General features: G+C 47.3%; 1 protein-coding gene across 6 annotated transcripts in view, besides 1 other annotated feature; it reads right to left on the bottom strand.

Annotated features, from left to right (window-relative positions):
• RAB11FIP3 (RAB11 family interacting protein 3) overlaps positions 1 to 15,087 on the bottom strand; it is a 97,363-nt gene that overhangs the window by 77,903 nt on the left and 4,373 nt on the right. The gene's annotated exons all lie outside the window — the stretch shown is intronic.
• Positions 2,448 to 2,986: an enhancer, noted in NCBI's record as "H3K4me1 hESC enhancer chr16:492123-492661 (GRCh37/hg19 assembly coordinates)". NCBI's record gives its function as "activates a minimal SCP1, AML or CMV promoter by ChIP-STARR-seq in primed H9 embryonic stem cells {active_cell/tissue: H9 hESC(primed)}" and the evidence as "EXISTENCE:reporter gene assay evidence [ECO:0000049][PMID:30033119]".

Genomic DNA, 15,087 nt, shown 5'->3' with positions numbered 1-15,087 from the left:
AGAGTCTCGCTCTGTCACCCAGGCTGGAGTGCAGTGGTGAGATCTCGGCTCACTGCAAGCTCTGCCTCCCGGGTTCACGCCATTCTCCTGCCTCAGCCTCCCGAGTAGCTGGGACTACAGGTACCCACCATGATGCCTGGCTAATTTTTTGTATTTTTAGTAGAGACAGGGTTTCACCATGTTAGCCAGCATGGGCTCGGTCCCCTGACTTCGTATTCCACCTGCCTTGGCCTCCCGAAGTGCTGGGATTACAGGCGTGAGCCACCGCACCAGGCTCCAGTCTTTTTTAATAGAGATAGTCTCGCTATGTTGGCCAGGCTGGTCTCGAACTCCTGACCTCAAGTGATCTGCCTGCCTGGGTCTCCCAAAGTGCTTGGATTACATGCATGAGCCACTGCACCCGGCCTGAACCCAATCTTTTTTAATAGAGACAGGGTCTCGCTGTGTTGCCCAGGCTGGTTTCGAACTCCTGACCTCAAGTAAAACACCTGCCTCAGCCTCCCAGAGTGCTGGGATTATAGGCGTGAGCCATGGCACCTGGCCAGAACCCAATCTTGAGAGGACTACAAAATTCTAGGAGCTCTAAAATTAGGAGCCTGAGACCTTGCTGAATGAAGTAACTGCAGCTTTATTCTGCAGGCCGAACAGCTATCAGTATCATAATTTCTTTTTTAATTATCAAGAGATCATCCAACAGTAGAGAAAACTTTTAAGTCAGCACAAAAGAGAGACTCTTCAGAGCCGTTCTCAGCACCGTCCTGCTGCTGCCTGCCTTAGTCTACTACCCTCTGCCCTTTACAAGGAGAACGTCACACCGGAACAAAGGTAGTGAAAAGTAGGCATTTCCATGTTCTTTATTCCTTACTGAATGACGCAGACTGATGGCCTATATCTGAAACTCGTAAGAAAGGATAATACCACAAAAGAAAGAAACCCTACAGAAACTCAGGGCGCTGTCCAGGGCTCCATGTACTTCAGAGGCTGCCTCGGCCAACCTCCATGCACAGGTTGAGAAAGAGAGGCCTCAGGGTGGAGAACACCCACACCACAACACAGACACGCACAAGAACGAAAACACTTGTTTATTAACATGCAGAGGAACATCAGCTCAAATACACTCCAGGAAATACAAACTGAAACTCCGTTGATATGCCATTCTTCCTGTATCAGATTGGCAATACTTTTCTGGAAGACAATTTGGTGACGGAAAATATTTTCTTAAATGCTTTAAACCCTACATATCCAGGCCGGGCGCGATGGCTCATGCCTGTAATCCCAGCACTTTGGGAGGCCAAGGCGGGCGGATCACAAGGTCAGGAGATCTAGATCATCCTGGCTAACATGGTGAAACCCCGTCTCTACTAAAAGTACAAAAATTAGCCGGGCGTGGTAGCGGGCGCCTGTAGTCCCAGCTATTCGGGAGGCTGAGGCAGGAGAATCGCTTGAACCTGGGAGGCAGAGGTTGCAGTGAGCCAAGATCGCGCCACTGCACTCCAGCCTGGGCGACAGAGCGAGACTCCCTCTCAACAACAACAACCACCACCACCAAAGATCATGCTGCAGAAGCAGATGTACTGATATCGAGAGGTGGTAACAATATGTTGACTTAAACTAGGTTAAAATGGTCAATTATGACTCTGGTTTTGTTTAACTGTCCTATACAAAGAAAAATTTAAAAGCCAGAAGGCTGAAAAGATTCACGGTGCTGGATGGGGTTTTTATTTTCTCCTTTATTTGCAAGTTATTATTTTTATTTACTTCTTTTGCATGTTTTTATTTTAAGCGTGCATGATCTGTGACGTTTTCCTTCTAAGCTTCTTGCTTTCGCTTTAAAGGCACTCGCAAGCCAACAAGAGCAGGTTCTTGATTTACCCGTTCCAAATGCCAAGACTCCTCCTGCTTGGTATTTCTTAGTCTGCAAGAGAGAGCCAAGTGTTCCTCAGTGCTGATGAAACCTCACTAACTGGTATTTCTCTTAAAATGCATCACAGGGCTGGCTTCCTGAAGAGGGTTCTTAAAAATTAAATCACCAAGAGGAAATGTCTTCATGGCTTCTTCTCTCCTCACCAGACAGAATAAGCCATGCTGACGGGGATGGACTTTCTCATAAAAGGGCTTTTCATTTCCAACAGCAAAAACGTCAGCCTTGTTTTTCTTGGATTTTAGTAAAGTAAACCAACCCACCCGATGTTGGAATGAAATAAAACTTTGTAAACAAGCGGGAAAAAAATAAGGGGTGAGAGTGGTAGAAGAGAGGAAGAAACATCTGCAGAGATGACCGCTCTAGCACGGAGCCTGTTGTGACCCTCAGGAGAGTTACGCCAACAAGAAAGACCTGCTCTCTTAATTGGTCAAAGGCCGCCTGCTAAAGCAACAGGGTGGAGCTCCAGCTCCTGCCCACGAAGACACAACATACCTTCTGCAAATCACATCTCTGTGCTTTGGGACGACTCAGCAGACACTGCCACTACGTCAGAAAAAAAGTAGCATGACACCGAAAGACAATTCACCCCTGCCTGACCACCCTGGATTGCCACTTCAGAAGTAGAGAACCATGGAAGCAACCAGACACCAGAAGCGGCAGCCCGGCTGAGCGGGAGGAAGACCAGAAAGGAGACCAGCACACTCCTGGTTGGCCATTGCAGCTCCTCCTGAAATAGCAACCCCCTTCACGAGGGTTCTAATAACGCTCCAGAATGAAACAAAAGACCTCAGTTGAATTTATAACTCCAACTACCATGCCCAAACTCCCCCAAGACACTCACCATGGGAATAGCAACCCCATTTCAAAAACCAGCATCATAAGCTGGGTGCAGTGGCATGGGCCAGGAGTCCCACCTACGCAGGAAGCTGAGGCAGGAGGACTGCCCAGGAGCTGGAGGGTGCAGTGACTGTGACAGAGCCTATAAACAGCCACTGCGCTCCGGCCTGGGCAACACAGTGAGACCCCGTTTCTTAAAAAAACAGCATGAGGCCAGGCGCGGTGGCTCATGCCTGTAATCCCAGCACTTTGGGAGGCCGAAGTGGGCGGATCACGAGGTCAGGAGACGAGACCACCCTGGCTAACACGGTGAAACCCCGTCTCTACTAAAAATACAAAAAATTAGCCAGGCGTGGTGGCGGGTGCCTGTAGTCCCAGCTACTCGGGAGGCTGAGGCAGGAGAATGGCGTGAACCTGGGAGGTGGCGCTTACAGTGAGCCAACATGGTGCCACTGCACTCCAGCCTGGACGAGAGAGCGAGACTCCGTCTCAAAACAAACAAACAAAAAAGCATGATTAGAGAACTTCATAGTTCAAGAGTTGTGGAATTCCTTCTCTAGGCAGACAAATCAAAAGTATCAGTCACTCAAAGGCTGTTATTATGTCACAGAAGGAAGGGTGCCTGGTGTGGGAACACAAATGTGTGTTTGCTGCATGACCAAGAAAGGAGCAGCATGGGGCAGAGGGCTCCAGCCAGAGGAGCAGCTGGCACCAACTCCAGGCTAGTCCCTGTGCACATTAGGGTCCGCGTGCGTGAGATCAATTTAGAGAGGCAACGACAGAGTACCCAGCATAGCGATTATTTTATGACTGTTACAGGATACTTCAAATAATTAATTTTCATCACTGGTCTACAGGTGGGGCTTTGAATGAATCGGCAGGACTTACTGGAGGGTGACACAGAGGGGAAAACTCACCCCCCGTGAGAACATGCCAGAGGTCGACAGTGATGGGAAGACCTCATGTCCCCTGCTGTGTACTCCTAGAGCATGGGTTTGTTTAATCGTGGATACGCACGACTTAGGGATCAGGAACATCAGGCTACTGAGTGAGTGGGAATACCAGGTTACTGAGTGATCAGGAACAGGCTTGAAGAAAAATAGGGCCAGGCGCGATGGCGACGGTGGCCTATAATCCCAGCACTCTGCGAGGCTGAGGCAGGTGGATCACCTGAGGTAAGAAGTTCAAGACCAGCCTGACCAACATGGTGAAACCCGTCTCTAATAAAAATACAAAAAAATTAGCCAGGCGTGGTGGCAGGTACCTGTCATCCCAGCTACTCGGGAGGCAGACGCGGGAGAATCGCTTGAACCTGGGAGCTGGAGGTTGCAGTGAGCCGAGATTGCACCAATGCACTCCACCCTGGGCGACAAAGCGAGACTCCGTCTCAATAAAAAAAAAAAAAAGAAAAATGGACTCAGCTGACCTTCCTGTGTTCTGGAGGAGGGCTGAAGGAGCAAGAGGGTGGGAAGAGGGCAGCCAGGCGGGCCTGTGCCAGCACCTGTTCTCACCTCTTCACTTCCTGCCCGCAGGCACAGCTGCAGCTGAACCAGCAGGGATGGCAGGGATGCCTTCCTGATCCCCCAGCATGGCTGGTCTCCAGAACTAACATTCCCAGATTCATCACACAGCATTTTCAGAAGTCTTCCTTCCCATAAGGGATAAAAGCATCTGTGTATTTTGAACATCTTTGTGAGGAAGATGCATCACTGACCTAAGAAACAGTAGGCAGGACACGGCCAGCAAAGCAAGGGGATCTTTCAGCAAAGAGAAAATCCCTTCAGGAAATTAAGATGCCAGCTGGCCAGGCCTAGCTGAGAATGCCCACCAGGTAGGAGAAAAGGGGGAAGGTAGGCAGAGCAAGAGCCTCCCTTGGACTTTGGGCCACTGATCCCAGGGAAGGGACGACAGCAGAGGGGCTGAGCGAGGTGGCTCATGCCTGTAATCCCAGCACTTTGGAAGGCCAAGGTGGGCGGATCACTTGAGCTCAGGAGTTGGAGAACAACCTGGGAAACATGGCGAAACCCCATCTCTACTAAAAATACAAAAATTAGTAAATCTTTAATAAAAAGAAAAAGGAACACAGAAATTTATTGTCCAGAAATGTCCAGAAACATTTCCATTTTATGCAACTATAAGGCACAGAATGAGACCCTGTCTCAAAAGAAAATAAAAGTAAAGAAATAAATATTAATCAACCAAGAAGGCCGGGCGCGGTGGCTCACGCCTGTAATCCCAGCACTTTGGGAGGCCGATGGGGGGGGCGGATCATGAGGTCAGGAGATCGAGACCATCCTGGCTAACACAGTGAAACCCCGTGTCTACTAAAAATACAAAAAATTAGCCAGACGAGGCAGGCACCTGTAGTCCCAGCTACTCAGGAGGCTGAGGCAGGAGAATTGCTTGAAACCAGGAGGCAGAGGGTGCACTGATCCGCGATTGCACCACCACACTCCAGCTGGGCAACAGAGCGAGACCCCGTCTCAAAAAAAAAAAAGAATGCAACTGTTTGTCTCTCACCTATCTGTGACCTGGAAGCCCCTCCCTGCTTCATGTCTTCCTGCCTTTGCTTGGAGTTGTCCCACCTTTCCAGAATGAACCAATGTACTTCTTTCATATATTGATTGATGTCTCATGTCTCCCTAAAATGCATAAAACCAAGCTGTGCCCCAGTCACCTTGGGCACATGTCATCAGGAGTACCTGAGGCTGTGTCACGGGTGTGCATCCTCAACCATGGCAAAATAAACATTCTAAACTAACTGAGATCTGTCTCAGATTTTGTGGGTCCACAGCCATCAGGAGACCTAAAGGCTGAAGAGCTAGGACGCCGGTTTTAGTGGCACACACAGGACACTGGCTCAACATGAGCCCTGTTTTGAAACTTATGATAAACACAAGAATATCACAAGATGGTAACCAGAGTAATACCAATTTGCTAAAACAAGATGAGCTGGTCCTAGTGCAGTGGTGTTTACAACTAACTGATCACAATCGTTACGGGTTGCTTTGGTCCTTCTCCATTCCCACTGCTTCACTTGACTAGCCATGAACAGACAGAAAGACAGACGGACAGATACAAGCATGAAATATCTGGACACAAAAATAGAACTGTACCTACTTAAAGAATTTATTTTCCTCCCTAATCATGACACTGAATCCATTTTTCCTAGCCTGTTAGTCTCAAGAACTTTTGAAAGCCAAGTACAGTGGTGCACACCTGTAGTGCCAGCTACGAAGAGGAGGCTAAGGCGGGAGGATCACTTGAGCCCAGGAGTTCAAGGCTGCAGTGAGTTGTGATGGCACCAGTGCACTCCTACCTGGGTGACAGAGCAAGGCCCTATCTCTTTAAAGAATGTTTTAGCCGGGCGCGGCGGTTCACGCCTATAATCCCAGCACTTTGGGTGCCAAGGCGGGCGGATCACAAGGTCAAGACATGGAGACCATCCTGGCCAATATAGTGAAACCCCGTCTCTGCTAAAAATACAAAAATTAGCTGGGCGTGGTGGCGCGTGCCAGTAGTCCCAGCTACTTGGGAGGCTAAGACAGGAGAATCACTTGAACCTGGGAGGCGGAGGTTGCAGTGAGCTGAGATCGCGCCACCGCACTCCAGCCTGGTGTTAGAGCGAAATTCCATCTCAGGAAAAAAAAAAAAAAATTTAAAAGGCCAGACACATTGGCTCATGCCTGTAATCCCAGCAGTTTGGGAGCCCAAGGCAGACAGATCCCAAGGTCAGGAGTTCCAGACCAGCCTGGCCAATATGAACATACAAAAATTAGCCAGGCGTGGTGGCGTGCACCTGTAGTCCCAGCTACTCGTGAGGCTGAGGCAGGAGAATTACTTGAACCCTGGAAGCGGAGGTTGCAGTGAGCTGAGATAGTGCCACTGCACTCCAGCCTGGGTGACAGAACAAGACTCTGTCTCAAAAAAAAAAAAAAAAAAAGCCGGACGCAGCGGCTCATGCCTGTAATCCCAGCCCTCTGGGAGGCCGAGGTGGGCAGATCACTAGGTCAACAGTTCAAGACCAGCCTGGCCAACATAGTGAAACCCCATCTCTACTAAGAATACAAAAAGTAGCCGGGCATGGTGGTACGTGCCTGTAATCCCAGCTACTCAGGAGGCTAAGGCAGGAGAATTGCTTGAACCTGAGAGGCGGAGGTTGCAGTAAGTGGATATCACACCACTACACTCCAGCCTGGGTGACAGAGGAAGACTCCATCTCAGGAGGAGGTGGGGGAAGGCCAGGCGCAGTGGCTGATGCCTGTAATCCCAGCACTTTGGGAGGCCAAGGTGGGTGGATCACTTAAGGTCAGGAGTTCAAGGCCAGCCTGGCCAATATGTGAAACCCCATCTCTACTAAAAATATAAAAATTAAGCAGGTGTGCTGGCACGAGCCTTTAATCCCAGCTACTCGGGAGACTAAGGCAGGAGAATCACTTGAACCCAGGAGGCAGAGGTTGCAGTGGGTATGGGCCAAGAATGAGCCAAGATCGTGCCATTGCACTCCAGCCTGGGCAACAGAGCGAGACACTGTCTCAAAAAATAATAATAATTACAATGCAATTAGTACAATTCTTTTCATTAAGAATTTTTCACTTTATTTGATTAAATGACATAACAGTCTTGCGCGCTCGTGGCTGCACAGTGATGTTCTGATGTCTATAACATATAGTTATCAGTTCAGTGTACTTGGCACGTCTCTCATCTTCAACATTTATCACTTCTTTGGGTTGGGAGATTCAATATCCATCTGACTTTTTTTTTTTTTTTTTTTTTTGAGATGGAGTTTCACCCTTGTTGTCCAGGCTGGAGCGCAATGGCACTATCTCAGCTCACTGCAACCTCCGCCTCCCAGGTTCAAGTGATTCTCCTGCCTCAGCCTCCTGAGTAGCTGGGACTACAGGCACGCACCACCACACCTGGCTAATTTTTTGTATTTTTATTAGAGATGGGGTTTCACCATGTTGGCCACACTGGTCTAGAAATCCTGACCTCAGGTGATCCGCCCGCCTCGGCCTCCCAAAGTGCTAGGATTACAGGCATGAGCCACCACATCTAGCCTTTTTTTCTGAGACAGAGTCTCCCTCTGTCGCCCAGGCTGGAGTGCAGTGGCGCGATCTTGCCTCACTGCAACCCCCGCCTCCCAGGTTCAAACGATTCTCCTGCCTTAGCCTCCCCAGTAGCTGGGACTATAGGTGCCCGCCACCACACCCAGCTAATTTTTGTATTTTTAGTAGGGACAGGGTTTTGTATCATGTTGTCCAGGCTGGTCTCCAACTCCTGACCTCAGGTGATTCACCCTCCCCAGCCTCTCAAAGTGCTGGGATTACAAGTGTGAGCCACTGCACCCGACTCCTCCTTCTAGCTATTAGGAAAAACAGATTATTAACTACAGTCATCCTACAGTGATATAGAACACTAGGACTTATTCTTCCTATCTAGCTATAATTCTGTCACTAAGAATTTGTTGGCCTAGCAAGATGGTTACGCCCATAATCTCAACACTAGGAGGACTGCTTGAGGCCAGGGGTTCATCCGGGTAACAGTGAGAACTCGTCTCTACGAAAAATAAAAATAAGGCTGGGCGCGGTAGCTCATATCTGTAATCCCAGCACTTTCGGACGCCGAGGTGGGCAGATCCTTTGAGCTTAGCAGGCTAACAACATGGCAAAACCTCGCCTCTACAAAAAACACAAAAGTTAGCTGGGTGTGCTGGCAGGCATTTATAGTCCCAGCTACTCAGGAGGCTGAGGCAGGAGAATCTCTTGAACCTGGGAGGTGGAGCTTGCAGTGAGCTCAGATCATGCCACTGCACTCCACCCTGGGCAACAGGGCCAAACCCTGTCTCAAAAATAAATAAACAAATAAATAAATAAATAAATGAAACATTGGCTGGGTGTGGGGGCATGCCCCTGGAGGCTGAGGTGGGAGAATCCCTTGAACCCACCCCAGGACTTCAAGGCTGCAGTGAACCATGATCACACCACTGCACTCCAGCCTAGACAACAAATTGAGATCCCATCTCTTTTCTTCTTCTTTGAGACACAGTCTTGCACTTTCGCCTGGGCTGGAGTGCGGTGGCGCGATCTTGGCTCACTGTAACCTCCGCCTCTCGGATTCAAGCAATTCTCCTGCCTCAACCCCCGAGTAGCTGGAATTACAGGCGCCTGCCACCACGCCCGGCTAATTTTTTGTACTTTTAGCAGGGACAGGGTTTCACCATGTTAGCCAGGCTGGTCTCGAACTCCTGACCTTGTGAGTCGCCGGCGTCGGCCTCCCAAAGTGCTGGGATTACAGGTGTGAGTCACCGTGCCTGGCCAATGATCCCATCTCTTTTTTTCCTTCTCCAAGAAGCAGGAATTACAGGCATTTTCTAATATGCATTTCTCCAAATATCAGTAAAAATAGCCCATCTTCATAAAGCATCTGCAGATGCAAATTCAATGTTCTATCTAGTTCTTTAATTTACTAGAAAATCCAAGTTTCTTTAGATGTATTTTGTATATTTTATATGAACCTTAATGAAGTCAAAGTATGTAAATATTTTATCTTTAGGGTTTACTTAAATTTTTTTATTTCTACCAACTGTAATGATTTTTTTTACTAGATTCCCTTCTGTACTGTTTGAACTCTATGCTATGTGCAAAGGCACTACTTTTCAAAATAATCAAAATCAGTAACACAACAGGAAATATAGCCAATACCTCAAATAAAACCCTTCCCACCATACGCCCTCTCCTACACACTCATATCTCCCAACACAAAACTAAAAGCACTTTTAATATTTCTTCAAAACTTCTTTCAATTCTACCTGGTTGTAAGTGTGATGTATATTTAGTACATCACTCTATCATAATAACTTAGAAGTGCTAATCTAAGTAAATTTGGAGCCTTTATAATTACCACTTTTATGAGCTACATAATAGACTTAAGTGGATGCCTAATCCTTTTGTCTGATATAACTAATGTTTACATTGAATGTTTCCAGAATTTAAACAAAATAAGTGCTTGGAAGAGAAGCAATCCATAAGCCTGGTGCCCTTAACAACCTTGTCTGCACCATCTACACAGAACTAAACTCTTCCTGTATGTTAGATCCTAAACTGGAACCAGAATAGTCCTTAACTTTTTTTTTTTTTTTTTGAGACGGAGTCTCGCTCTGTCGCCCAGGCTGGAGTGCAGTGGCAAGATCTCGACTCACTGCAACCTCCACCTCTGAGCTTCAAGCAATTCTCCTGCCTCAGCCTCCCGAGTAGCTGGGACTATAGGCACCCGCCACTACGCCCGGCTAATTTTTTGTATTTTTCGTAGAGACGGGGTTTCACCATGTTGGTTAGGCTAGTCTCGATCTCTTGACCTCGTGATCCACCTGCCTTGGCCTCCCAAAGTGCTGGGATTACAGGCGTGAGCCACCGCGCCTGGTCTAATTCTTGTATTTTTAGTAGACAGTAGACTTTAGATTTTACCATGTTGGCCAGCTGGTCTTAAACTCCTGACATCAAGTGATCTGCCCACCTCGGCTTCCCAAAGTGCTGGGATTACAGGTGTGAGCCACTGCGTCCGGCCATCCTTAACAATTCTGAATCTTCCTGGGGACAAGTAAACCTTAGGTTTCCATTAAAGTATACATCTGCCAGGCCAGTGGCTCATGCTTGTAATCCTAGCACTTTGGGAGGCCAAGGTGGGAAGATCACTTGAGCCCAGGAGTTGGAGATCAACATGGCAAAACCCTGTCTCTATAAAAAATAGAAAAATTAGGCAGGTGTGGTAACACGTACCTGTAGTCCCAGCTACCTGGGAGGCTGAGATGGGAGGACCACCTGAGCCTGGGAGGTCAAGGCTGCAGTGACCAGTGATTGCACCACTGCACTCCAGCCTGGGCAACAGAGTGAGACTCTATATCAAAAAAATAAAGTATACATCTGGCAGGGTGCAGTGGCTCACGCTTGTAATCCCAGCACTTTGGGAGGCTGCGGCACGCAGATCACTTGAGGTCAGGAGCGCGAGACCAGCCTGGGCTAACATGGCGAAACCCCGCCTCTACTAAAAATACAAAAAATTAGCCGAGCATGGTGGCACATGCTTGTAATCCCAGCTACTAAGGAGGCTGAGGCAGGAGAATTGCTTGAACCCAGGAGGCGAAGGTTGCAGTGACCTAAAATCGTGCCATTGCACTCCAGCCTAGCCAACAATAGTGAACTCTGTCTCAAAAAATAAAGAAATTTTTAAATAAATAAATATACATCTGATATCAGAGACCTTCAATTTCAAAAAATTTAGGTCAACTACTATACAATCCAGCAATCCCACTACTGAGATTTATCCAAAGGAAAGGAAATCCATATACCACAGGGATGCCTGCACCCCATGTTTACTGCAGCACTGTTCTCAATAGCAAAGATATGGAATCAATCTAAGTGTCCATCAACAGTTGAATGGATAAAGAAAATGTAATATAGATACACAATGGAGTACTTTTTTTTTTTTTTTTTGAGACAGAGTCTCGCTCTGTCACCCAGACTGGAGTGCAGTGGCACGATCTCGGCTCACTGCAAGCTCCACCTCCCAGGTTCACGCCATTCTCCTGCCTCAGCCTCCCAAGTAGGTGGGTCTACAGGCGCCCGCAACCACACCCAGCTAATTTTTTTTTTTTTTGTATTTTTAGTAGAGACAGGGTTTCACCGTGTTAGCTAGGATGGTCTCGATCTCCTGACCTCGTGATCCGCCCGCCTTGGCCTTCCAAAGTGCTGAGATTACAGGCGTGAGCCACCGCATCCGGCCTGGAGTACTATTTGGCCACGTAAAAAAATGAAATCATGTCATTTGCAGCAACGTGGAAGGAAATGGAGGTCATTATGTGAAGTCAAGTAAGACAGGCAGAGAAAGACAAATATCACGTTTTTACTCTTATGTGGGAGCTAGAAAAGTGGATCTAATGGAGGTAGAGAATAGAGCGATTGATATCAGAGGCTGGGAAGCATCAGGAGGGTAAAGAGCACGGTTAATGGTTAGAAATATGCAATGAGCGGTGGCTCACGCCTGTAATCCCAGTACTTTGGGAGGCCCAGGTGGGCGGATCACCAGGTCAGGAGTTCGAGACCAGCCTGGCCAACATGGTGAAACCCTGTCTCTAGTAAAAATACAAAAATTAGCTGGGCATGCTGGCATGTACCTGTAATCCCAGCTATCAGGAGGCTGAGGCAGGAGAATGGCATCAACCCGGGAGGCAGAGCTTGCAGCGAGCTGAGATCGCGCCACTGCACTCCAGCCTGGGCAAGAGACAGAGACTATGTCTCAAAAAAAAAAAAAAAAAAAAAAAGATAAATATGGAGGTGACAGACACCCCAACTTGATCATTACAGTGTATGCCTGTAACAAAATACCACATGTACCCATCCCATGAATATGTACAAATATTTCTATCAATTAAAAAGAAACAGCTCAGGCTAGGGGCAATGGCTCATGCCTGTAATCCCAGCACTTTGGGAGGCCAAGGCGGGTGGATCACGAGGTCAAGAGTTTGAGACCAGCCTGGCCAACGTGACAAAACCCCATCTCTATTAAAAATACAAAAATTTAGCCGGAGTGGTGGCAGGCGCCTGTAATCCCAGCTAAGTGGCTGAGGGAGTCTGAGGCAGGAGAATTGCTTGAACCCGGGAGGCAGAGACTGCACTGAGCCGAGATCGTACCACTGAACTCCAGCCTGGGCCACAGAGCGAGACCCTGTCACACACACACACACACAAAAAAAAAAAAAAAACCAGGTCAAAAAGCAGATTCAAAGCAACATGCATGCAAATTATAACATTTATCTATAATCAAGTATGTATTACATACATTTTAATTTACATATTAAATATTTAATTATCTCTTAATGATATTAATGGATGGGGGGATTACAAGGGCTCCTTATTTTTCTTATTTTATCTACTAGTATTTTACCTACTAGTTTTAGTTTCTTTTTAGTTTTTCGAGACAGTTTCACCCTTGTCGTCCAGGCTGGAGTGCAATGGCAAGATCTCAGCTCACTGCAACCTCTGCCTCCCAGGTTCAAGCGATTCTCCTGCCTCGACCTCTGAAGTACCTGGGATTATAGGCGCCTACCACCACACCCAGCTAATTTTTGTATTTTTAGTAGAGATGGGGTTTCACCATGTTGGCCAGGCTGGTCTCCTGATCTCAGATGATCCACCCGCCTTGGCCTCCCAAAGTGTTGGGATGACAGGTGTGAGTTACCGCGCCAGGCCAGTTTCTTTTAAAACAATGAACATCTATAAAAATAATTTAGCTTCACTGGGCGCCATAGCTCATGCCTATCATCCCAGCACTTTGGGAGGCCGAGGTGGGCGGATCATGCGGTCAGGAGATCAAGACCATACTGGCTAACACGGTGAAACCTCATCTCTAATAAAAATACAAAAAAATTAGCCGGGAGGGGTGGCGGGCGCCTGTAGTCCCAGCTACTCAGGAGGCTGAGGCAGGAGAATGGCATAAACCCGGGAGGCGGAGCTTGCAGCGAGCCAAGATCACGCCACTGCACTCCAGCCTGGGTGACAGAGCGAGACTCCATCTCAAAAAAAAAAAAAAATTTAGCTTCTACCCCAATATGATCTCAATTGTGTACTTTTATAGACAGTCACCTGTGTGTCTATGTCTGTGTTAAAAAAGGTCTGGGCCAGGTGCGGTGGCTCACATCTGTAATCCCAACACTTTGGGAGGCTGAGGCAGGTGGATCACTTGAGGTCTGGTGTTCGAGACCAGCCTAGTCAACACGGCGAAACCCCGTCTCTACTAAAAATATAAAAATTAGCCAGGCGTTGCACGCCTGTAGTCCAAGCTACTCAGGAGACTCAGGCAAGACAATCGCTTGAACCCACGTGGTGGAGGTTGCAGTGAACTGAGATTGTGCCACTGCACTCCAGCATGGGCAAGAGAGCAAGACTCTATTTCAAAAAAAAAAAAAAAGTCTGAAAAGAAATGTAGTAAAATAATGGGAATGTTATTTTTCTCAGGATAGTGGGATTATTGGTCATTTTCTGTTTTATACAACCCAAGCTTCATTTGCCTTTCAGCAATTCAGTCAGCATGTAGACCCAGAATACATACACTCACCTGCTCACACACATACATAATATGCCACTTACACACAAATATCCCACTCCCACATACACACATCCCTGATCCTGCAGACACATGCTCCCACACATCTCACCGCACACACATATTACACACACACACACCAGCTCACATATGTAACTGCTCACACACACACATGCTCACTCTCATTCACACACACTTTCACTCAAATTCAAGGCTAAGAGACTGGAAATGATACAGGGCAAATAAAAGGCGATGCCAGGCTGGGCGCTACGGCTCATGCCTGCAATCCCAGAACTTTGAGAGGCTGAGGCCCGAGGACGGTCGCTTGAGCCTGGGAGTTCAATAATATGCCTGGGCAGTATCACTATACTATACTTCATCTCTACAAAAATAATTTTTAAAAATGTTTGTATTTTTAGTAGAGACGGGGTTTCACCGTCTCCTGACCTCATGATCTGCCCGCCTCAGCCTCCCAAAATGCTGGGATTACAGGCGTGAGCCACTGCACCCAGCCAATTTTTTTAAATTAGCGGAGCATGGTCATGCCTGCCTATAGTCCCAGCTACTCAGGAGGCTAAGATGAGAGGACTGCTTGAGCCCAGGAGGTGGAGGTTGCAGTGAGCTGAGATCTTGCCACTGCACTTCAGACTGGGTGACAGAGTGAGATCCTGTCTCAAAACAAACGAACAAAAAGGTGCAGTCAAATGTCCCTAGGAACTTCCTACTGCCACCATTAGCGGTGCAGGAATAAAAAAACGTAGGGAGATCTGAGCATCGACACTTCCTTCGGCAGCCTATTTCTGCAAGTACTGAAGACAGACAATGCCTACCAAGGTTACTGAAGGACATTCTCTGAAAAGAATCAGTGGCTATTAAAACGCAACTGCTTAAGTGACTGTAAAAATAACATGTAAATTACAGTTATAATCTTTAAAAACAAAACAAAATTAAAGTAATCCTTTCTCACAACACTCTTAGAATTTATTTTACAATCTCTGCTTCATGATAGGTGGCAGTAAATACAAAAGCATCAGTCCTCTCAGTATGAAGGGGTCATGTCAATCTCCAGAGATGGTTGAAGCCTTAAAAATCACCTATTCCAACTTCATACCTAATTCCTGGACACATCTGACTATAAATTCCTGTTTCAAAAAAATATAACCAGAAAGCTCCACTTGCTCCTTTCATGTGCTGATTTCTGCTAACACAACACTGTGTTATATTAC

The sequence above is a fragment of the Homo sapiens genome, chromosome 16 (assembly GCF_000001405.40).
Source record: "Homo sapiens chromosome 16, GRCh38.p14 Primary Assembly".
Taxonomy (NCBI): Eukaryota; Metazoa; Chordata; class Mammalia; order Primates; family Hominidae; genus Homo; species Homo sapiens.
The sequence above is the reverse complement of the archived record's forward strand: the minus strand, read 5'-3'. Positions and strand labels throughout refer to the sequence as shown.